At 46.1% G+C, this 25,656-nt stretch overlaps 2 annotated features.

The window, feature by feature from the left end:
* Positions 15,815–16,354: an enhancer, noted in NCBI's record as "H3K4me1 hESC enhancer chr20:58686253-58686792 (GRCh37/hg19 assembly coordinates)". NCBI's record gives its function as "activates a minimal SCP1, AML or CMV promoter by ChIP-STARR-seq in primed H9 embryonic stem cells {active_cell/tissue: H9 hESC(primed)}" and the evidence as "EXISTENCE:reporter gene assay evidence [ECO:0000049][PMID:30033119]".
* Positions 24,898–25,053: a silencer, noted in NCBI's record as "fragment chr20:58677553-58677708 (GRCh37/hg19 assembly coordinates)". NCBI's record gives its function as "represses an EF-1alpha promoter that drives an FKBP-Casp9 reporter gene in an ReSE screen in HepG2 liver carcinoma cells {active_cell/tissue: HepG2}" and the evidence as "EXISTENCE:reporter gene assay evidence [ECO:0000049][PMID:32094911]".

Genomic DNA, 25,656 nt, shown 5'->3' with positions numbered 1-25,656 from the left:
CACGCCCAGCTAATTTGTGTATTTTTAGTAGAGACAGGGTTTCAGCATGTTGGCCAGGCTGGTCTTGAACTCCCAGCCTCTGGTGATCCACCTGCCTTGGCCTCCCAAAGTGCTGGGATTACTGGTGTGAGCCACTGTGCCTTGCCAGGAATTTATAAATACCAGATAGGGCTGTGTTAAGTTCTCCAGAGAGACAGGACCCATAGGATATTTGAGAGGGGTTTATTAGCAGAATTGCCTCACATGATCACAGGGGCAGAGAGGTCCCACAACAGGCTGTCTGCAAGCTGGAGAACTGGAGAAGCTAGCAGTGTAGCTCAGTCAAAGTCCAGAGGCCTCAGAACCAGGAAAGCAGACCATGTGGCCCCCAGTCTGAGGTCAAAGGCCCTGTAGTTCCCAGGCCACTGTTGCAAGTCCCAGAGTCCAAAAGCCAGAGAACCTAGAATCTGATGTTCAAAGGTAGAAGGAGAATTGCATATTTAGTTTTGTGACAAGCTGCCAAACTGCTTTTCAGAGTGGCTGTGCCATTTTATATTCCCACGGGCAAGGTAGGAGTGATCCAGTTTCTCTGTATCCTCACCAGCTAACTGTATCCTCGCTGAGCGTCCCACTCAGGAAGTGGGGAACAGAGACTGAGACCGAGAGAGAGAGAAAAAGAGAAAGTGAGAATCCCTCCTTCCACCCTTTTGTCCCAACTGGGCCCCCAGTCAATTTGACGGTGGCCATCCACACTGAGGGGGGTCTTTCTCAGTCTACTCACATGCCCTTCTCCCCTGGAAACATCCTCACAGACACCTAGAAGCAATGCTTCAGCAGCCATCTAGGCATTCCTCAGTCCAGTCAAGCTGACACCTAAAATTACCCATCACAAAAGCCTTGTGACCACTGGTAGAGATGAGGACTCTAGGAACTACACAGCGTTTCTTGTTTGCTTTATTGTGTATGTTTTTACACACATAACCCAGTATCTCTTTCCCCTGCTCTCCCCGCCTCTCTTATTTTATATAAGATATATTGACTGTGGCTAACCTAAAGGTTTAGTCTTTCAACCACAGTCTATCCGAGGGTGTTTTTTACTGAATATGGAGGGTGACCATCACTCAGAGATGGATACCTGGACCCTTTCTATTGGGGTGGAGGTGAGCATTTCTTCTTTGTGAGGAAGCATGATGATGTTTCTGTGATGGCTCTTTGGAAATTAACATGGGTGGGATGTCCATGTGGATGCTGAGTGGCCATGTGGGCAACTACACCTGCTATCCTTCCTTGGTATTCAGCGACACCCTCGCCTCCAGCAATTGTCCTTGCTTATCTCAGAGGCTGGAAGCATAAGAACTACACTTTCCAGAATCCCTTTCCAGAAGGAATCTGGTTTGGATTCCACCTAGAAGAGGTGTTCCTGTGAGATTTGGAAGGTGGAAGATAACCATCCTTCATCCTTTCTCCTGCAGCAGCAGGGGCTTCCTGCACCTTCCTGGCCCCTGCAGTCCACCATCAGTCTCTTGCTGCAGTGATGGGTTCCTCAGCAGGTTCCAGCAGGCTTCTCCAGTTTCCTGATTTCCAGGCAGCACCCCCATCCCATGGCTCCCGCTGCTCTCAATTCTGCCAGCAATGCTATGAGCACCTGACTCCCTTTCTGCTTGAAATTTCTTGCCTGCACTTTAACTGATACAAGCCTAATGCGCACGACTGAGTTGAAAGAAAGGCACAGTTGTAAGGATGTCCTTCTCTCTTCTCTTAATGCCGCATCCCATGGTTGATCCCTTCTAAGAGGACACTTGCACCTGGCCTGTTTCAGGATAAGATCTGCGGCTTCTACTTCATCAGAACAGATCTAGGCTGCAGATGTTCCAGATGGGGGCAATGCTAGGTGCCAGTCGACCGCATCACAGTTTTCTCACCTCCAACAGCATAATGAAAACAAACAGCACCAAAATGCTCTTAGAAGCTGCGACAGATGATTTTCAAAAACAATCTCACCCTCTCACACCTTTCCTGGCAGCCTTCCACGCTGCACAGGAACAGAATCTGTAGATATGGGAAGCCAACAAGCTTAGCTTCACCTGTGTTGAGACTTCTTTTTTCTTATTTTTTTCCCCTTTGCATCCCATTCTCACTTTATTTTATTTTATTTTATTTTATTTTATTTTATTTTTTGCTGGAGGTGGCACAACAAGCAGAAAATATTTAGGCTGCTGCTACACCATTTGTGTTTTTAATTTGACAAGAAAACTTGTGCAATTGCATGGAACATTTATCTTATTTCTGCAAAATTTTGCTTTCCTCTATGAATAACAAACAGGCTTTAAAGACAGCACTGCTTCCCCCGCCCCCAGCACAGAGCCCTGCCTCTGCTCTACAAGACCCTAACTGCATCTGCAACCATGGCCTGAATTCTCTTTCTCCATTCTTGGAAGGTCGACCCCTGCACCTCTGATTGACCCATTCATCAGCATGTGGCAGGCAACCAATATACAGAATTTTTTTCTGGAGCCAGCTCTGTATGCAGAACACAAATGAACAGAAAGACATGTTCAAAATGCAGACAGAGTGGGGGCCATGTGACTCAAGGAACAAGATAAACATACATTGAGACACATCAGCCAACCTGCACAATAGAAATGCAGACGGGAATACACAAATCTACTGACATGGCCTGTGCTCTGCCCACCACCCACACTGGCTTGGAACTGAGCTCAGTTTAGCCCCCACTCCCCTGCTTGTCTGAATCCCACCTATGCCTCCAGTTCTTCCACAAACCTAAACTTCTCTAAGAAGTAATTTCCCAGACTTTCCTGTTCATACTGACTGGTCCATCTCACACACAGCATTTTGCAACCACCTTTTCTTTGCTATACGAAAGTCTAGTCTCTCCAGCTAATAATCAAAACAAGCAGTTTGATTCAGGGCCTGCTTGGGGCTGGCACAATGCGGATACATCCCGTAAATTATCTCCTTCAATCCTCATAATCCTGTGAATGGGATATGGTTATGATCTCCATTTGACAGATGGAGAAACTGAGGCACAGATAATGAGGCAGTCCAAGATCAGAGGATTTTTAAGGAACTGACCCAGGATTTGAGCCCATGGCTTCAGAGCTCAGACTTTTTTCAGTGAGCTAGAAAAAGCAGCTAAATGATAAAATGTACAACATAAATAAGTATCAAGTCTGTGTTCTGAATTCTAGAATATTTAAAGTAAATGAAATGCATTGTTCAAGTCAGCAACTAGTGTAAAGCATTCACATTATTATTCTGGGTTCAACCTGCATCCTGATGAAATGCACAATTAAAAAAATAAAAAAGCATCCACTTTGATTTATATCAGGTTGAACAATGCCCAGAATCAGTTTCTACATTCCTATATACCCCGACTTTGGAAATTCCAATTTAGGCCTTTCTACACTATAAATATTAAATGTGAATTTTTAAGTTCCATCTGAAAGACTTCTCAAATTCTCATCATTATTCTTCCAAATAACAACCAATGAGCAAGAACATTAAGTGGAGGAAATTTTACTTAGGCTCATTGAGAATGTGACCCATAGTATGAACCATGCGGAATCTTAAGGAGGAGTGTTCTATTGCCCATTCTTCCTTATTGATGCTTACGTAAGAAAGAATACGAAGGTAAAACCCCTCCAGTGGGAAAACAGCCATACTATGAATTATTCCTTCAACGAAATTTACCTTACTCATTGTGGTTAAACAACCACAAAAAATAAATGAGGTGGTTGCTCATAACATCCAAAAACTTGGCATCAGATTAATCTAGAGGTAGTGAGACAGAGAAGAAAGGTATTGGGTACATGTTACAACAACTCCATTTTTATCTAGGTAAAGCTTTTCAATACATTTGCAGGCAGATGTTCTACCAACCCACTCACAGGTTAGGAGTCTAGAAAATAAGCCCCCTGACCTGCAGCCAACCACCTGCTACTCACATGATATAGTAAGGCTGTGCCTTCAAATGAAACTGGCCTTAGCCCTGGAACATCTGGCTCAGTGGGAGATGCTGGCACGTCCAGCGTGGACAACACCCAGAACACAAACGCCCACCTGGAAGAGGGTGAAGGTGTTCATACTCAGTTGATCCTATAGTCCCTGAACTTATCACACAGTATCAGCTCAATCAATATTTGGTCAATAAATGAACATGCCAAGGGGAGAGCTCCAGCGACTCTGAGTTCCGCCGCTACTAATCGTGGGAGCTGGGCCAGCTTGACCACTCTGAGCCCGGCCTCCTCATGTGTCCAATGATGGTAGCAGCACGACCTCATGGGTTAGCTGAGCTGAGGAATGTGAACAGCTCACCAGTGCGTGGCCCAGACTCAGTGCTCGATGATAGGCAAGTGGTTGGAGCCTCTTGACATAACCAAAAACAAAAACAATGTAGGATGTGTTTGATCCCATGTAATTTTTTTACTGGGAAAGCTCTTCATTTCCTTCCCTTGCTTTTTTGTTGAAAAACAAATCACTTCCTACAAAAGATCCCTAGAAAGAGTAACATGTTAGCCTTTAGAGACCCAGTAACTCAGACTTATTTATACTCAATAGACTTGTTTATACTCAATAGATATTTGAATGTGTCCTACACACCTGGCAGGATGCTGGGCACAGAAAGACAGTGCAGAAGGTAGAAATGGCATGGGCTGCGGAGCTGACTTCCTGGGTTCAAGGGCTCACTGCATCTCAGAGCTACCACGTTACTTCAAGCGAGTTACATCCGCACTGTGGCCTCAGTCTCCTAGGCTACTGAAGATGGTGATAGGTCTCCTTCAGAGGGAGAGCTGTGGTGAATGAGATCATGTCTACAAAGTGGCTTGGGAGGACCTGGAGGAGCAGAGGCTGGAGCAGTAGTGACAGGAGAATGATGATGGAATATATAGACAGCCACAGGGAAACAGACAGGTACTCAACCAACTGAATCATGAGGGAGGGAATAGCAAGGGGCCCAAGAGAAGTAAAGTGAAATATAGAATGTCCCAGTGAAGAAGAGATGATGTCTGTCTGTCTGTATTGATGACTGTGGAACGGAGTCCCGGGTTGATCATTCATTCAGTGATGCTCCTTAAAACCATGTTAGGTGAATGAATAAACCTGAAAAGCTACCTACCGCAGCACATCTAAGGACGAACGGGGGAACCCCCAAACCAATTTAGCCCTTCTTGGGGCTCTGCTTTGAACTGGTTGCTGGGGTGTCTCTGTGTGTCCCAAAGAGCCCATCCGAGCTGGTCATCAGCCTATTAGCTCTATGTGCAAAACCCCCTTTCAGAAGGAAACCTGCCTCACCCACTAAGCTGGGCTTTTTCCAATAACAACCAAAGCAGAATCTCTACCTGCATGCAGAAAGTAACCATGAATTATCCATGCGCTCAGAAGCCCCGTTTGACAGGGAACGTGGGAACCGCTGCAGACAGGTTGCAGGCAGTGGGACTCAGGGTGCTAATTACTTCTCACTGTCACTTAGCAAGACTGTCACATCTGCTGGGGGAGAACGGGGCCCTTTCTCGTCTTCCTCGTGGAAGAGAAGGATGTAGTCAAACAAACAATCCAGGATTCCGCAAAGCATACAAAGTAGCAAGGTGAGCCAGTGAATCTATTTAATCTCAGGGAGAAAATGGGTTTTGCCAAGTGTCTTATAACGAAACGCCTATAAGGACATTTGGCTGAAGTTGAAAGGCAGGGTGGTGGGACACAGAGACTGGGGCCCTTCCAATAAGACCAACGGGACTTTAACACCTTTGGCATGTGATTTCAGCCTTCTAGCTTCAGTTAGTTCATCTGTGAGAGGTGAGAGCAAGACCTACCTCACAGTATCAGGACGGGGGCGAGTGGCAAAGTATCAAGAACAGCAAGTGACCTGCACACCACAGAAGCTCCACAGAGGAGGTTCTGGGACAACATAAGCTCTTACGAGGCTGCCCAGCCTCTTACACTTTGTTGTCTTTTTACGATGTGATGTTTGGTATAGGAGATGTATCCAGATCTCCTCTGGTCTTTGACTGTTTCTGCTTGTGGCCCTGCACTCCCAGGTTTCTTCGTGTTTTTGCTTCTAACTGCAAATCCCACCCTGGCTGGCCTCTTGGCCTCCTCTGTCCCACCGTCCCGGTCCCCCACCAGTAGCCCCTGGGAGCTTCCTAATGTCTCCTCTGTGCACAGAGCTGGTGCTCAGGGCTGGTTTGCATTAGGCATTGGGTAGCATTCATCACAGATGGAAGCAGCCCTCACCACTCCTCCACTTTGAAGGGGTAGTGAGGATCAGCTCTATGGGATAACCCCAAAGAAAACACCTCCAGCTTTGTCTCCAGACCTTCCAAAGCACACCCTCAAAATCTAAAACTGCTCCAATTACAAAGGCTGAGATTAGTCTCGAGCCCTCTTTGGAGGATGATTTGACCTTTATTACTGTTCTGAATCTCTGCTCACCTTCCTTTCTGCTCTGTGATCCAACGGGGAAAAAGACGGATAGGCCAATTCCAGGCTCTTCTTTTAAAAAAGTGAGGTAGAATTTCACTTCTCCCTATGAATTGAGGAGGAAAAGAGAGTTTTGGTTTTCTTTCTTTTTCTTTTTCTTTCTTTCTTTAAGTGCTGCCCCAAGATTTCAGCAGGAGGGTTTCAAGAGCAGTATTCTAGAAATGACTTTTGAGTTATAAGAAAATGTCTTAGGGGTTTTATGGAAGCAAAGAGGTGGGCTCGAATGTTTTACTCTTTTTTTTTCCATATGGGGAATTTATAGATGGGAACCTACTTCCATTAGACTTGACACTGACATGGCCCTGGAATGAGATGGTGAAGTGGTGGGTACGTGAACCTAGATAAGAAGCATCCCTGTGTACAACACGGCAACTATGGTTATACCAACGTATTGGACTTTGAAAACTTGCTCAGAGAGTAGATCTGAAGTGTTCTCACCACAAACATGATAAGGGTGTGAGGTAATGTGTATGTTAATTGGCTTAATTTAGCCATTCCCCAACATATACATATTTTTTTTTTTTTGAGATGGAGTCTTACTCTGTCACCAAGGCTGGAGTGCGGTGGCGTGCGGCTCACTGCAAGCTCCGCCTCCCGGGTTCATGCCATTCTCCTGCCTCAGCCTCCCAAGTAGCTGGGACTACAGGCGACTGCCACCACGCCCGGCTAATTTTTTGTATTTTTAGTAGAGACAGGGTTTCACCATGTTAGCCAAGATGGTCTCGATCTCCTGACCTCATGCTCTGTCCACCTCGGCCTACCAAAGTGCTGGGATTACAGAAGTGAGCCCCCGCGCCCGGCACATATACATGTTTCAAGACACCATGTTGTACATGGCAAATATATACGTTTTTTGTCAACTCGAAAACAAATAAATAGATTTAAAATTTTTAAAGAGAAATGAATAGCCCTGGGACATCCCCTGAAGCCATCAGGTCATCTCCAGCTGGACTCTGGTTCAGAGCCGGGAAATTAGGTCTTACGGGGTATGAGCCACATGTGAACTTAGAACCCTGGGTTGTTTTGTTACAGGGCTCTTTGGTAAATGATGTTACTTCTTAAGCTTGGGAATGGACCCTGGCCTCCTCTAAGAGGGCCTAAAATCTAAAGATAAAAGAATACAGGCAAACACATGCCACTGGAATCAATATCCAGGTGAGCTCAGTTCTTGAAAAGGCTTGCATGTCTCACACAGAGCAAACCCTCCCTGGAGAATTCATTTAAAACTGAAAAAAACAAATACTCCCCTCTCCCTACAACTGTATTCTTCCACACTGGGAGTATTGAAGATAAAGCTATTTTCACAGGAGCACTGGAACGAAACGGAAAACAAGTGTAACATAACTACTGACATTTTCCCAGGAGATGCCTAGTTTGAGTGTATTTCCATTTTAATGTCATTTTAAAGATCTATATCAAAATTAGTGGCACGTACTCTCTTTTAAAATACGTGTGCCTCATTTAGAGTCTTTTAAGGAAGACCCCTCTCATGGTCGTGCTGCCTGTGGCTTTCTTATTTGCCATCTGATCATATCTCATCTTCCTCCTATTTATATCTCTGCACGGCTAGCAAGGAGGACATCTAGGAAGTTCCACCCAGGAACACTTTCCAGAGTGCCCTGGACAAGTGGCTTACTTGGACACATTCCTTGTTTCCTTTAAAAATATTATGTTGCTTTACAACCCACCTTCCGCCCATCAAAGATGATGTTTACCTGAAGGCCTTTGAATGGATTTTGCTGGGATCAAAAGTAATTACTTTGCAAAGTTCATTTCTGACTTCAGTGTCTTCTTTGGCACTGAATAAATATTTCATAAGCATGAAACTCAGAGGCTGTTTGTTTCTCTTAGTTTTGCAAGCTTTTTTTAATTAGCCTATATGCCTGTATTGTTCATTTTTTCCTAGATCGCTTCATACTGTCTTATAGAATAAGATACCATTAAAACAAATCTGAGGCATTTCCCAACAGAATACTAAAGCTGTCTTTGCACAGGGAACACATAGGGGAGCTGGGCATTTGCATCAGAGCATGCATGCCAATCATTTATTCAGGTTTCATCCCAAATCCACATATTGAGGACCTACTTAGGAAGGATGTTGGGAATGAATGTTTGTTCATGTTTCTGGGGACCCTGGTTATTAATTAACTTGGAAACTTGTGAGATCTCAGATCAAGTTTTTGGAGTGCATCATTAGAAAGACTCTCTAACTCCCTGAGATGGTAGCATATGTCACTTATCTGCCTGGTGATGACAAGAATATTTGCCATGGCAGCCGATGCTTCCGTAAAATCCTGACTTCAGATAAACAAGCAGGGGCAGATGACTTGGGACTGACCATACTTTTTATCCAGTTGGCAGCCGAGGGTGGCTGAAGTAAGCAAACTTAAGAGAGGAGGATGGCTTTGGGTAGGCAAGGTGTTCTGAAGCTCGGGACAGATGAAGCCTGCAGTGCACTGTTAGCATTTTGGTTCCCAGCATCCCTTCCCACATCCTAACAATATCTGGGTGTACTTGGAGAGCTCACCTCTGCCCCACTGTGCAGAGGTTTCATGCATTTTAGTCTAAGTGCTCTGTCCTCCCTTAAGAACCAGGCTTGTGACCCAAACAAAGTTAGAAGGAGTCAGATCAGGGAAGAAAGAAAAACTAAAGGGCATCAGCTTATTTCCATTGGAAATGCCCAACAAACTCGCCCATCTGTTCTGTTCTTTGAAGGGGGCTGCCCTGGTTTCTCTCTGGCTCGAGAGCCTGATCCTACAGCATTCCTGTCCATTCCAGCCACCCAGCAGACTTTAGGCAAATTCATTTTTGCTTAAAATAGACAGAGCTCATTTCTATTGCTTGCTACCAAAGAACTCTAAATGATTCCGGGCTTAGAAAGGTCAGTAGGGACCTGCGGTAGGGGAACCAAGACCTCCATTCACCAACTGCCATCATTACCCACCTCTTTGTTTAAGCAGACCTGTTGTCTGGACCCTCTGCCACAGCTGCCATCAAAGGGAGCTGTGGGTGTCATTCTCTATGACCTCCCAGTGCCCATTGAAAGTATGAATTACTATCCCCATGTTAAAGACAAGGAAACTAAGAATCAGCAGGATTGAGGTCAGAGGACTAGTAAGTGGCACATAGATTTTGACCAAAGTCTGATCAATAGCAAAGCCCATTTACTTTCCACTCTGCCAAGACTCTTCAGCACTCAAAAGTAAACCAATTATTTTTTTCTTTTAAAACAGTTCACATCAATGTTTTAATTAACCATGCCTCACCTTTTGAATTAAAAACAGAGTCCTTTTTTGTTTTCTCCACAGAAATCGTATTTGGAATCTCAAACTATAAGAGATAGAAGACGAAAGGTGAGAAAAGGACAGAGCCCAGCTGCTCCCCCGACCTCTGCAAAGGGTCCACAAAACCCAGTGGTCTGACCTGCAGCACAAAAACCAGCACTCTGAGGAGCAATTTGGCTTTTCATTAATTCAAATAGGACCGCATACCCTGACCTCAATCTATTTCTAATCATGGTGTCTTAGGAAGCTTAGAGATCCAGCTAACTTCGTGGGGCCACTCACAGTATGTCTCTCCCGTGTCAGCTCAAATATTCAATTTCAAGCTCCTATCTGACCCGTGCTGCTTAACTGAGAGCCGTTCATCTTCTTCATGTTTAGGAAACTGCAAGCTCAGTATAAATGTGCCATCCTCTGGTGTCTCTTAAATTCTGTCTGGAAGAACGCCACGGGGAAAGGGTTTAGCATATCTCCTTCAGCATTTGGGAGCTCAGAATTCACAGGGAGATTAACACATATGCTGTAAGTCACGATGGGGAGAGCTATAAATAGAAGAGCCTCTTTCCACACAGTTGAGGATCTTCTGGTATAACCACAATACTTTATAACCCTGATCATCACACAAGGGGAAGCATGAAAATGACCGTGCTCTGAGAGAAGATATTTTATGCATGAACTGGTTTCATTTCTGGAATCTGTAAGCTTTTAAGAGGCAGGAGTCACGGCACATTCCACACTTCATCCACGTTACACCTAAAGGTTCATTGGGAGCACCTGTGAGCATACTTTGGGGTCATAAATCCCAAGGGTTTCTGGAAGGCTACTTCCAAACGCACTGGGCAATGTTTTTAAAGGATGTGCTTAAAAAAAAAAAATGAAGCTTCCAAGTTGCATTTCTTTCAATAGAAAACTGAAGCAGGTCATTGGGGCTCATTTCTTTCTTCCCCCAAATCTGCCCACATATTCAGTTGTTGTGTCTCCTGTCTCCTAAAAACACCAGGTGCTTTTGCTTTTCACTATTTTACCCCCGTCAGGCAGGGGTTGGAGGCTGGCCGGCCACGCCCCCCCCATTAGTCAGGGGTTGGAGACTGCCCGGCCACGCCCCCCACATCAGGCAGGGGTTGGAGGCTGGCTGGCCACGCACCCCACATCAGGCAGGGGTTGGAGGCTGGCCGGCCACGCACCCCACATCAGGCAGGGGTTGGAGGCTGGCAGGCCACCCCTCGCCAACTTTATCCAGTGATTTTATTTACAGCAGGTCTATCACTTTCAAGAACTCAACAAAACCATGACTCAAAAAGGAAAGAAGGAAATCAGGCAACCGCTTCTGAACGCCAAGGCCTTGCTTAGTAAGCTATCACTTAGATCAGGATTTCTCAGCCTCCGTCATGCCGAGATTCGGGGTTGGATCTTTCTCTGTGGCGGAGCTGCCCTGTGCATGTTACGTGTCAGCAGCATCCCACCTGCACCCGCTAGATGAATGCGCACACAGTAGTCTCAGCACTGCCCCCAGGTGTGACAACCAAAAATGTCTCCAGACACTGACCCATGGTGGCCCTCAGTGGAGAACCTCTGAGCCAGATGTTTATTTCACACCTATAGGACTGTAATGGAAGTCATCTAAGCTGAGTGCCAAGGCCTAATTTCCTAAGGACCCAAAACTATCCCACGAGGAAGCCTGATGGTCTCTGAGGTTTCTTCAGCTCTCACTTCTGTGGCTCACACCCAGAGCCCACAACAGAGACATGTCCAACCATTTCCCAGGCCTCCTTTTCAGAAAGTGCTGGATGCTTTTGAGTGCTAGAAGGGGAACCTGACAGAGAAAACAAAACCCGCAGGAGGTGGCTGCTGTCACGACCGCCCCCCGAAACCCGCTCCTCCAATTCCCTGCTTTCCTGTTGCTAAACGCAGAGTCAGCTGTCCAGCTAGAAATAAAAGGTTTATGTTGGGTTGCCACATAGATTCTTATGGCAATAACATTTGGAGCCTTTTACTGGGACATAAACTGTAAGCTAAAATGTCACCCGGTTTTATTAGACAATCTAAACGTAATTGCAAATAAGTTGATGTACTCATAAAAGATGATGTAAGACTGTCATCCCAGCAGCGGCATGGGGACTGGCCAGGAGCACAGGGCGATGGCAAAGTGCTGATCTGCCCTCTGCAACCAAAACCGTCCCCAGATTCCTGAAGTACAAAGAGGGAAGAGTTATGTTGGCAGGCAATGGCAGGAAGCAACATTATTACTTAATAATAATAACACAGGGAACAAGAGGTTAAAAGAGGTCAGTGCAAACCATGTCCCAAGACCATTTTCTCTGGAATAAAATTTTCATAACGAGCTCTAAGTCTTTTTTATGGGCAGGCAGAACGTCATTGGGAAATTAATGATGGATCTGAATGATAAATCTGCTTTCATATAGAAGCGTTGGTTTTTTGAAAATATGCTTTTATGCCTCAAAAGTTGTAAATGAGAACAAGACAAGGATATATCCAGAGGGATCATTATTCCAAGCTGGGCCAGCTGTCCCACCACCTGATTTCATCAAATTTATTCTAAATAAAAATATAGATCAACAAAAATCTACTTTTTTGTGCAAGAATGGGTAATTTACTTTTTTAAAAGATAAAATATGCTCAATATTGTGAAGACATCATGGTTTACATAGGAATCTTGTGTGTTTAACATACAGCTTCAGAAGATTCACCCAGGATAACAAACGTGAGAACAAATTTTTGTGAATTTCAAAATGCTCATCAGTTTACCATCTCAGGCCATTTTTCTTAATTATTAATTGGTCAGTTTGCAAAAGTCATGATATGACTTTCATGGGCTGCCAACAAAGCACACAAACCAGGTGGCTTAAATCAACTGGAATTTATTCTCTCTCACTTCCGAAGGCCAGAAATCTGAAATCGAGGTGTCTATGAGGCATCTTCTGTCTGGAGACTCTAGGGAGGGTCCTTCCTTGCCTCTTCCAGCTTCTGGTGGTTGCTGGAAATCCCTGGTATTACTTGGCCTTGTAAAATAACAACACAGAGAGAGACTTTCCAAAGAGTTGATTCGGGAATAGCAGAGGATTGCAATCCAGGATATGCATTCTCTGGTGAGCCATAAGCACATCCAAAGAGGTTGGGACTAGGAGAAGCTTTTAAAGACAAAAGGGAGAAGTCCACCTTAAGTTGTTTTGAAATGAAGACCATTGATCACAGGGGCTTATTCCGGGAGTTGGTGTTAGCTCATTGGTGGAAGCAGCCAGTGTTGGACAAGTTATGTGCATCCATAAGTGGCTTACCTGGAATCCTGTGTTTTTGAGGAGTTCCTTGCATAGTTCCTGTCATAGGCATACAAGCAGGGATGTCTTGTGATAAGTCAGGCATGTGGTGGGGGTGCTGCACCCCATTTTACTATGGTTGATGTAGCGACTCCATTTTTATATCAATGACTGGCAGCTATTCCTCTCCAGTCCTTCTTCTCATGGCCTTCTTCACATGGCCTTCTTCTCAGTCCATCTCTGCATCCAAATTTTCCTCTTCTTATAAGGACATTGGCCAATTAAGATCCACCCTAATCTAGTACAACCTCATCTTAACCAGTTATATCTGCAAAGACTCTATTTCCAAATAAGGTCACATTCTGAGGTTCTGAGTGGACATGGATTATAGGGGGGACACTGTTCGACCCAGTAGAGTGGTGAGGAGCCTATCAGTGCACATATGGTCTCAGCTTGCATTAATTTCTCTCAGCATCCTTCCCCATCTGCCATCCGGTCAGGCACACTTCCCTGTGCTGATGCTTCCTTGCCATGCACAGCTCCACCAGAGAATCAACCGGTTTCATGCAACTTCCTGCTGACTTCATCTCCAGCCTCATTTGTCATGAAACATGGGTTCCAGGAAAGCCCAGTACTGCTATGCACAGAGGCCGATACTGGGCAGGTGGGGGCAGAGGCATCTCTCCCAACCCGGAGGAGGTGCTCCCTGTTCTGCATTCAGAACACTCCTTAGGCACGGAAGTCATTGTCACTTGGTGCCATGTCCATAGGCTACTGAAAAGCATCACCCAAACACATCTGCACTTTAGGACCCACTATCAGAGTGACATAACTCACACTTCGAAGTCAGGCCGACCTGTGTCTAGTTGAGCAGTCTGGGTCTCAACTGGGTCAAGTGGGGATTAGACCATGTGAAAAATTTGCCAGCCAACCCTGGAGAGCCCCCACCTTCACTGTGTCTGCTTCTGCCTTTAATACTTTCTTCTCTGCACTGCGGTCTGGCCTGGGCTACCTGGCCCCCAGCACAGCCTCCTTGTTCCAGTGAGTAGCCATGCTTCTCCTGCTCCTTCTTGCCTGCTGAGCACCAGGTCACGTAGTTGACTGTGCCCTTGGCTCACTCTCTCTCCTTGCACTGGGTCTGAGGGCTTCTCTTCCTCTGCCCCATGCCTGTTCCTGGAGTTCCTTGGCGGTCTGTCCTCACTGTGCAGATGCTCCAGAGAGACTGAGCCTCCCCCACAGCTATCACCCGCTACACACAGGCACAGACTACCAGGGTATGAGCTCAGCTTGCACTCACTTCTCTCAGGAGCCCTCCCCATCTGCCACCCGGTTAGGCACACTTCCCTGTGCTGCTTCCTCACCACGCACGGCCCCACCAGAGAATCAACCTGCTTCGTGCAACTTCCCCTGACTTCATTTCCAGCCCCAATAGATGGCAACCATTTTAAGGACAAGTGTGGTTCTTGTCCTAGCACAGTGCCTGGTGCACAGCGGGGACTCCAAGTGTCTGCTGCATATCATCCACTCGTTCATTCACTTATTTATTCAAAAAATATTTAGAGAGCCTCTACCAGGAAACAGGCACTGTATGAAGCACTAGGAATTCAAATGAACAAAACAACTACCCACACCATCCCCTGGCTCCACTGGCATTACATTCAAGGAGGGGAGATGGACAATTAATAAAAAAAACATAAAAATACATCACGTGGTGTCAAGAGTTGTGAAGCAAGCACCAGCCAGGGAGGGGAGATGACAGGAGAGGGGGCCCTGCTGGACGCCATGATGAGAGGAGGTGAGCAGGCTGCACTCTGGCATCAGCTGGGGAGGGAGCAGTGTGTGGTTATTTGGGGACGGGCACTCCAGGTGGAGGGAAAGGCCACTGTGCTGCTGCTGATGCTGCCGGAGCGAGGCTGAGATCAAGAGATGGGGTCAACACAGGTCAGCAAGGGAAAGGACAGCCCATTTCTGCAACGCCCACCTGCGGCCACGATCTGGGCCTTTGCCTTCCAACCTACCCAGCCCAGCTGTTAAATGAAGAGTCTGAAGCCCAGCTTTTAGCAATGAAGCTTTGACCATTCAAATGAGCCAGATCCTAAGGGTAGGAGTGGGTGGGGAGGCTGGGTCCAAGGCCTCAGCTGCAGCCCACCCGGATCTCCAAAACCACAGCAGTTCCAGGTTTGAAGTCAGCCAAGAACTCATCGAAATCTGCAAGCAGAGAAGAGGGGACCCTGAGAAGGAATTTCAAACTCCACAAAGCAGATTAAAGCCAAAGTGACTCTGTGGCCCATGGCGTGTGTTCTACATTCACAAGAAGGAAAATTCAGGAAATGGAGCAAGAAGAGTGGAAAAGCTCCTCGCTGCCCAGCCTCAAGATGCAATAAATTGCTTATTTAAAATGCCTGTTTTCAGGCAGGTAAGGGGTTTTTGTCCTACAACTGTCATCAGTATAAATTAGTGGCTTCTCTCAACAGGGCTTATTTACTTAGCAAGTAAATTGGGTTAGATCATTGCTAAATTTTGCCATTTGGCACATATGATATTTATGCACTTAATAGCTTCATTAAGGAGGTTTCTGGGAGTCTATTACTGAGCAAGTCTATAGATCACTGGGCAATAAATTCAGAGAACGTTCCTTAGCATTCATCTAATTTGGCCATAGTTTTAATTAAGTGTTTCAGCTAATGATTTCCATTTATGTTTAATAAAATTTATTGCATAAAAATAAGTTATCAGACCCCAATTTAATTCAAGTTCTTCTAGCTGATGTGGCTGCCCCCAGCAGGGTGCAGTGTGTGTTAATGGGTGGCCATTTCCATTTGGAGGTTTCCACTGGGCTCTGAGTCACTAGTCAAGGACACGCAAAAAGGGTCCAGCTTCCTAGGATTACCTTAAAAATCATTTGCATGGAAAAAACAATGTCATAAAGTGACCCTTGACTGGGTGATACACACACAGAACGAGATCAACTGTAGGCAGCTACAAACAAAGGTTGTTTTTGGAAATGGTTCCAAAAATGCAGGTATGCATCCCAAATGCCACAGAGCTTGCCTCGGATTATCTGGCACTGTCTTCTTACTCTAAAAGCAAGCAATCCATCTCCTGACAGCGCCCACTCTTCAAGTGCATGGGCCCATTAAAGACAATTGTGCATTGCTCACTCCATGTGCAGACCTCACGGGCCCTGCTCTATGCACACTTCCTCTCTCAGAACCAGACCTCTGGGGCCTCAGGCTGCCCGGTGCTCATGACCGACAGCCATAGCCAGGTTCCTATCACACACCCCTACCAGCCCATCCCCGGGACTGCTCAAGATCGTCAAGGTCATGCCCCCTCCCCAGGGCAACCCACATCCAATGACTGACACATGTGGGGGTGCAGGCACCCTACCCTGTGGCCCCAGCTCAGAACAGCTCCGGGCAGCCGTCCCTGCTCCACGACACAACCCCAACCCTGGGGGCAGCTGAGGCCTTCCTTCGCCCAACCTCACTGCCTCCACTTCCCTGGCAGTGTGACCCTGAGAACAGCCCCATAAACCCTGTCACAGTCGGCCTCACAGGGATGCCCTCTGGCCTCTACCCCTCCTCAGCACCCTCACTGAGGCAGAGGGTGGTACCTTGCCCCCACGGGCACACACAAGGCTGTTCATCACAGCACTTCTTGTGAAAACCATAAATCAACCTAGAGACCCATCGAGGCTGTATAAAATGAGCAATATTTCCACAGCACAAACTCTCCTGCAGGTCTGCACGGAATTACCGGAAAATTCACAAAGCTATGTTGAAGGGGGGAAAGAGAGGGCCAACGATGAGGCCTTTTAGGTCAAAACAAAACCACTTGATAGATATTCTGTGGGAATCTAGCTAGCTAGCTATATCTATAATACAAACACATGGAAACATTCCGGAAGGAGACAAAGAACTGATGGAGATGGTCACCTCAGAAGGGGTGAGGCCTGAGAAGGGATCACAGAGAACAGGAGCGGGGAGACGTTTGATCCAAAAGGACTTTGCCTTTATCTGGAATGCTTCCATTTCCTTTTTTTTTTTTTTTTTACAAAAGAGTGTATTCATGTATTGATAACTAAATTAAATGTTAATCACTTTTTTGGAATGTGAGCCATAATATACTTAGGTTGGTGCAAAAGTAATTGTGGTTGTTGTCATTGAACATAATGGCCAAAACCGTAATTACTTTGGCACCAACCTCATAATTTTCTCCAAAATGTATGGATCGGATCATTTATGAGGATGAAAAGGAAAGAAGCACGTCAGAAATACTTAGATGTCATTAAGTGTCTGCTGTGTTCCTCAATTAGACGAAAATAATTGGGTTACTTGTAAAAAAGAAAGCAAACTATGAAAATATGTCTAATCCATGACACCAAGCTGTTACCAATTTACAAAAATCTTCAAAGAGCATTTCCCAAAACCTTGGGATTTTCTTATTGGAAATTCTCCATGACACTGGTGGTTGTTAAGAGATGAATCAAGTTGAGACTCATCAATGCAGTTTCCTGATTCTTGAAGCTGGGTTCTTTTCTTTTACAGTCATACGTCCCCTAACGACTGGGATACCTTCTGAGAAATGCATCCTTAGGCCGTTTCCTCCTGTGGGAGCCTCATAGAGAGAACTGAACGAACCTGGAGGTTACAGCCTGCTACGCACCTGAGCTATGTGGGCAGCCCCTTGCTCCTGGGCTGTAAACCTGCACAGCCTGTGACTATACTGAGTGCTGTACAGCAGGACTGTACTGAGTACTGTAAGCAACTGTAACACAACAGTATTTGTGTATCTAAACATAGAAAAGGTACAGTAAACATATGGTATAAAAGATAGAAAATGGCCCACCTGTATAGGGCACTTACTATGAACGGAGCTTGCAGGACTGGAAGTTGCTCTGGGTGAGTCAGTGAGTGAGTGGTGAGTGAATGTGAAAGCCCAGGACATCACTGTTCACTGTGTATACTCTATAAACACTGTACACCTAGGTTTTACTGAATCCATTTAAATTCATTTTTCTTTCTTCAGGCCAGGCACAGTGGCTCACACCTGTAATCCCAGCACTTTGGGAGGCAGAGGTAGGCAGATCACTTGAGTTTAGGAATTTGAGACCAGCCTGGCCAACATAGTGAAACCCCATCTCTAATAAAACTACAAAAATCAGCCAGGTGTGGTGTCACACTCCTGTAATCCCAGCTACTTGGGAAGCTGAGGCACGAGAATTGCTTGAACCCAGGAGGCAGAGGTTGCAGTGAGCCAAGATTGTGCCACTGCACTCCAGCCTGGGCAACAGAGACTCTCTTTCAAAAAAAGAAAAAATTTTTTCTTCAATAAAAAATTAACATTAGCTTACTGTAAATGTTTTACTTTATAAACTTTTTATTTTTTTAACTTTTTGTAATAACACCTTAAAACACATTTTAACTGTATAAAAATAATTTCTTTACATCCTTATTCTATAAGCTTTCTTCTGTAAAAGACAAGGTTGGTTTTGTTTTCGCTCTTAGTTCGTTAAAAACTAAGGCACAAACACACATATTAGCCTAGGCCTGCACAGGGTCAGGATCATCAATGTCACCGCCTTCCACCCCACACCTTGTCCCACTGGACGGTCATCAGAGGCTAAACAGGCTTGGAGCTGTCATCTCCCATGGGAACAATGCCTTCTTCTAGAAATCCTCCCCAAAATACCTGCCTGAGGCTGTTTTACAGTTAAATTGTTTTTTTTTTAGTAAGTAGAAGGAATACACTCTAAATTAATGATTAAAACTATAGTATAGTAAACATATAAACCAGTAACACAGTCATTTATTATCTAGTATTACGTACTATACACAATTGTATGTGCTAGACTTTTCTCCAACTGGCAGTGCAGTAGGTTTAAACCAGCTCACCACAAACACGTGAGGAATGTGCTGTGCTATGATGTTACGGCAGCTTCCATGTCACTAGGCGATAGACATTTTTCAGCTCCATTATAATCCTATGGGACAACTGTGGTATACAGGGTCTGTCAATGACTCAAACATCACTGTGCAGCACTTGACTGTAATTCATGGTCACTTTTTAATACCGATACAATTGAGGCAACTTATGTTGAAGAATATCACCATGTCCATAAACTTGGTGCAAGGTTGGGATTTTCATAGCATAAGTGAGGCAGACATCATAAATCAGAGAAGAGCACAGCCGAAACATCCTTGGAGGCCACCTCACCCAACCCTGCCATTTAATGTAGAGGGAAAAGAACTAAAAGGACTAGAGAGGGCAAGTGACAAAACCACTCAAGGAGAAACTCCATCTGAATCATGTTAGCACAGACCATTGCAGAGGACATTCACATTTTCCCAGCTCAGCTATCTTCCCCTTTTTCTAGAAACAGCCCCATTGTCATCTAGCAACTAGGCTGTGCGATTTGTGGGTCCTGGTGCAAAATGAAAATGTGGGGCCCCTTGTTCAACAACTATTAAGAATTTGTAAGATGGTGACAGCAGAAAATTAAACTAAGAACAGGGCCCTTCTGAGAACAGGGACCCCATGCAGCCACCCAGGCCACACACTCAAGAAGTCGGGCCAGTCTCCCCATCTCCTCCACAAGGTGTGGACAAAGGCGACATCCATCCCTAAATGCAAGATCATGTGACCCTGAGCTCACCCAACCCCTACGTTGCAATTCGCAGCCATATTGATTGGTTCAATGGTGAGCATGTGACCCAAAGACGTCCAATCAGAGTGACTCCCAGGGCTTGCGCCAGGAATGCTGGGAAGCTGTATTCTCCTCATGTGGACCTTGGAGCCTGTGGCCCAGCTTCTGCTGGCAGCCTTCCTGTGACCGTGAGGAAAGAACTTGCCTGGAAGGAAGACACACACAGCACGCAGAAGAGCTAAGCAGGGAGCCAGAGAGAACCAGGCTCTGATCGCATCCTTTATGCCCTTATAACAAACTTCCCCATTATGTGATCCAATACAATTTTGTTTGTTTAAACTGGTTTGATTTAGATTTTCTGCCACTTCCACTGAAAAGCATCCTCCCTGGTAGAAGTTTCCACAGATCATTAAAAGTGTACATTTTGCCCAAGTTTGTGTGGATGGCAGTTTGGCGATGTCAATTAATACTTAAAATGTTTGTGCCATTTGCCCATGAATTATATTTCCAGGAAGAAATTTACCCTGCAGAATCCCTCACTCAATTATGCGAAAACTTTTTTAATGGTCTTTGCAGCATGGTTTATAATAATGAAAAATTGGAAACAACCATATCTCCATCAACAGAGGACTGGTTAAGTAAACAATGGTCATTTCATTGTCCTGAGTAACAGAGAAAACTTAAAAAGAATGAGGTTGGTAAGTACTCCCATAGGAAGGAACCCATGATTCGTTGATAAGTTTAAAAAGCAAGCTGTACAAGAATGTTATAGTTTGATCTCATTTTGTAAAATACGTTAACAACCTGCTGCTAGCATAGATCTATGGTGAAAATGTTGCTGGAGGATTGCGGGGATTATTGGAGGGGCTTTCAGTTTTACAGGATACATAAAAATTCAAATGCTGCAGAACTCGAATAAGGATGTGTTGGTTTTACACTGGAAAGGAAAGGTATTTTAAATTCCAAAATGCACAATTTGTCTTGAGGTATTTGGCCATAAGTAACTCCGTGACACCAGCATTAAATAAAACACGATGAGACTCATCCCTGCTGCTGCCAGTGGTTCCTGAAGGTTTGAGAATGTGCGCGATGGCCATTCCAGGCACCCTGGGTTCCCTGTCGCCAATGATGTTAACAGGCTCAGAGTGGTTGATTTTCTGCCTCAGGTCCCCTGGTGAGCGGGGGTATCACTTTTCCTGTCCATTTTCATATGATCACCGTAACATGTCTTTTTTTTTTTTTTTTTTTTTTGAGATGGAGTCTCCCTTTGTCGCCCAGGCTGGAGTGCAGTGGCACGATCTCAGCTCACTGCAACCTCCACTTCGTGGGTTCAAGCAATTCTGCCTCAGCCTCCTGAGTAGCTGGGATTACAGATGTGCCACCACACCCAGCTAATTTTCGTATTTTTAGTAGAGACAGGGTTTCACAACGTTAGCCAGGCTGGTCTCAAACTCCTGACCGAAAGTGATCCGCCCACCTCGGCCTCCCACAGTGCTGGGATTACAGGCGTGAGCCACTATGCCCAGCCTCATAACATGTCTTGAGTGTTCCCTTTAACTGAAAGTTGAATGTTTAAAAGACATGGTGAGTTGGCTAAGCACAGTGTCTCAGGCTTGTAGTCCCAAAACTGTGGGAGAGCAAGGCAGGAGGACTGCTAGAAGCCAGGAGTTTAACACTACCTTGGACAACATACTGAGACACTGTTTCTACAAAAAAATTAAAAATCACCCAAGGGTACTGGCATGCAGCTGTAGACCCAACTACTTGAGAGGCTGAGGTGGGAGGATCACTTGAATCTAGGAGGTTGAGGTTACAGCCAGTTATGATTATGCCACTGTACTCCAGCCTGGGCAACAGAGCAAGACTCTCTCAAAAAAAAAAATGACATTGTGGGTAGCTCCTACATTACTGAGATCTCAAGCCATCATTTCTCAGTGATGAAATAAATGTTTATTGAGCAGCTATTATGTGCCAAGCACTGAGGAAGCAGCACTGGCAGGTTTAGCCCCATGGCTCTGTCTTCCTGGAGCCCTGTAGGGAAGACAGATATGAGGAGTGGTGGAGAGAAAGATGCAGAGGGTTGTGGCCATGTGTCGGAGGCTAAATGCAGCTTCTGAAACGAGGCTTCTGAAAAGAGAGCAGTTTCCGAAGAAGCCTTAGATGAAGTGAGAGTCATCAAAGATAGACATGCATGAAGGCCCTGGGCAAGGAAGGCAACAAAAGGAAATCCAGTCTGTCTGGAACACAGAGAGTTAGGGAGAGAGACATGAGTGTGGAGGAGGAGGCACCTTCGGTTGGGCTTTACAAACCATGTTTAAAATGATGTCATTTCTCTTACACAGGAGGCCGAGGCAAGGAAACCACTTGAACCCAGGAGGTGGAAGTTGCAGTGAGCAGAGATCACCCCACTGCACTCCAGCCTGGGCGACAGAGAGAGACTTCATCACCAAAAAAAAAAAAAAAAAAAAAAGTTGTCATTTCTCTTGAGGAAAACTTAAAGTCCCAGGGAGTTTTAAGCCCCAAGGAGCTTGTGATCACGTTTGCACAACAAAGGAAATCGTCTGTTGTGCAAATGTTGCCGGTGAGTGGTAGAGATCTTGAAAAATCCCCAGGCAGAGGGTAGAGGCTGCAGTGGCATTCTGGAGGTGGGAGTGGGTAAAGCAATCAGAGTCCTTCAGGGCCAGAGGGAGAATCAGCCTGGCTGAGCTGGGGCCTGGTTTGGGCTGGTGAGGAGTCTGGCATGGAGAGCCCATCTGACATGGTTTGGATTGTGAGTCCTTTCCAAATCTCATGTTGAAATGTGATCCCCAGTGTTGGCGGTGGGGCCTGGTGGGAGGTGTTTGGGTCATGAAAGCAGCTCCCTCATGAATGGCTTGGTGACCTCCCCCACGGTAATGAATGAATTCTCACTGTTAGTTCGCGTGAGTGAGAGCTGTTTGTTTCAGGGAGCCTGGCACCTCCTTCTCTCTCTCCTGCTCTCCCTCTCACATGGGACACACCTGCTCCCCTTTTCCTTTCACCATGATTGTAAACTTTCTGAGGCCTCACCAGAAGCAAATGTCAGTGGCATGCTTCCTGTACGGCCTGCAGAACTGTGAGCCAAATAAACCTCTTCTCTTTATAAATTACCCCGCCTCAGGTTCGCCTTTATAGCAGTGAAAACCAGACTAACACAGCATCTCAGCCCAGCTCCCCCTTCAGTGCCATACTCCAAGGCGGACCATGTGTCATCATGCCCTCACCACTTCCCAGCTGTTTGCTGTGCACTAAGGACCACACCAAGCCCTTCCTGTCACTTCCACAAGTGCTCACAACACCCAGCACTGTGTGGTTCTCATCTGAGGTGTGACAAGCTGGACATGGTGCCCAAAGTGACCCCACCAGTGAGGGGCAGCAGGACAGACTGGATGCAGGACCTGCTACAGAACTTGCCATCCCAGAGCAGAATGAAAATGTGGGTCCTTGTTGAAAAGGTGCTGAGCATCTCAGGTCAGAACTGCAGAGAATTCAGTGGAGTGCAGGGCCCTTCTGAGCGCAGGGCTGTGCAACCCACCCGGACTAGACCAATGTGTCCAGCTCCCGGTTCAGGGTCAGTGCTGACCATGGGTGGATTCTGCAACCATATGGGTTACTTGATGAGCACTAACTCACACCGGCTGTCAGACAGAGGAATGGGGAGAGTACAACGTGCCTGCTACGGTGGCTCACACACATTTTTTCCCAGCGTATTAATGGTTTGAAGCAATCGGGGGTAAGCTTTCTGCTACTTGAAAAGCAAACCTTAGTGATTTAGAAAATGCTTTCAATCCATCGAAATACCTTCCTTGAATGCAAGTAGTGGCTGGTTTAGCGGCTTGAAGAGCCACTCCACTCTGCTAGTTAAGCCACCTGCAGCATCTGTGAGTGAACATGAAGAGGCCACAGCTTGTTTCTCCCTGCTTTAAAACAATGATGAGTACATGAAGGCACACCGTGGATGCAATTTGCTTTTCATTTTCATTTTTCAAATGATCTCTATGCAAAGTGAATACGCTCCAGGACCTACAACTTCAAGAAGGAAGCCCAGGCTGCATGTTTTATGGTTGGAAAGAATGATGCTACTACCCCGGAGGCCTCCCCACCTCCTCAAGCTGGGTCCCAGCTCCCTTTCTATGCCCCCCAGCTGGCCCCTGCTTCTCCTGGGACAGGCTTTTAAACCTCTTTACGCCTCTGCTTCCTCATGAGAAAATCAGAAGGACACTCGCCCCTACTCCACAGAATTCCAGGGCGATGAGTACCTGGTGCCGGGCCTACTCTAGGCTCTCAGTATGTGTCCAAGTTCCTCACTGGGGGTCCCATGTGTGCAGTGATTTATATAATGGCCCTCCTCTGAGCTCTGCCCTAGCAGAAACCCACCACATGTGCCACTGCGTTCTTGAAATGGGACTTATCCCAACTGAGATCGACTTTAAGTGTAAAATCCACATCAGATTTCTAAGAGTTTACAAAAAAAGCAAAATAACTCATTTATATTCTTATATTGATGATATGTTGAAATGATAATATTTTGGACATATCGGGTTACATAAATATTAATGAAACTAGCATTACTGGTTTCATTCTATTTTTTTTAATGTGGCTACTAGAAAACATCAACTTAGGCACATAACTCATTTTATATTTCTTTTGGACAGGGGAGGTGTAGACCAGGGGCCAGCAAACTTTTTCTGTAAAGGACCAGAGAGTAATTGTTTCTGGCTTTGTGGGCCAGATGATCGCTGTCAGACCTGCTAAACTCTGCCACTGCAGCCTGAAAGCTGCCACAGAGACTATATAAGCAAGTGGGTGTGGCCGTGTGCCAATAAAACTTTATTTACAGTATCAGGCAGTGGGCCAGATTTGGCCTGCAAGCTGGAGTTTGCACTGTGAGCCCCATGAGGGCAGCAGGGACTCGCTTCCTCACCGCTCTCCTCTCTGCACCTCACAGAGGACCCAGCACAGAGTAAGTGTTCTGTAAATATCTGATGACTCAGCAGATGAAGTTTGTCTAAATCTGGTAAAAAGTATTATTGTTTAATTGAGAAAGGGATAGACTCTGTATTAAAAGGATAAATGTTGCCCTGTGTGACAGCAAATATATGATTTACAGGGTCAGAAATGTACATCCCTGCCCTTAGCTCACTGAGCCATGACTCCAGCAGACAGAGTAATGCAATGTGGGGAGGACAGGCCACTGTGTGCAGGCTGTGTCCACCTGTGCTTGTCAGGGGCCACCTTTCCCTTCTCAGCAGGGTCCTTGCAACCTGAGAGTGGTGTGGGATGCTTCTGTCTCCCAAGCGCCCTCTCTGAGGGCCCCTGCATGGCAGCACACATAGGAGAGATGCTGTTTCTCTCCCCTACCTGCTCTCCTCCACACAGCGTGTCCTACAGCCAGGGCCTCAGGCCAGCTTCAGGCCTGTAGCCTGCTACCCTGAAGGTCTCCAGGGGAGAAAAGACTGACAGTCCAGCCTGATTCTCTCCTCTCATCCCTGCTTGTCCTCTCTCTCCTCCTTGGAAGGGCAGGACACACAGATATACACACACAGACAGAGGGAAAACTGCAGCTATTTAGCTCCGTTTTATCTGCTTCCTCTCAACAAGCAACTCTTCACCATCTCCACCATCTCACTTTCTCCCCTACTGACCCTTCAAGCAGGGCTCACAGGAGCCCCCCAGGCTTCTGCTTTCTCACCACCGCCTTCACATGCCCTCCCACTTGCTCACCAGGCCACCAGGCTCAGTTCTATGGGCACCGTGCCCAAAGGACCTGGCCACACAACAGCTGCATTCCGTGGGGCTGATGCCCCGTGCGGTTATGTTAGGAGCTGGACTCCTATCCAACCTCCCCTGAGGGAGAGGATGCACACCTCTGCATTTCTCAACGAGGTCCCAGGCCCCCTCTAGCATCTGCCACCGATAAGCCCTCGGTAAATGCCTGCTTGTTTCCATCCTAATA

The sequence above is a fragment of the Homo sapiens genome, chromosome 20 (assembly GCF_000001405.40).
Source record: "Homo sapiens chromosome 20, GRCh38.p14 Primary Assembly".
In the NCBI taxonomy this organism is placed as follows: Eukaryota; Metazoa; Chordata; class Mammalia; order Primates; family Hominidae; genus Homo; species Homo sapiens.
Note: the sequence above shows the minus strand (reverse complement) of the source record. Positions and strands in the feature narration are given on the sequence as shown.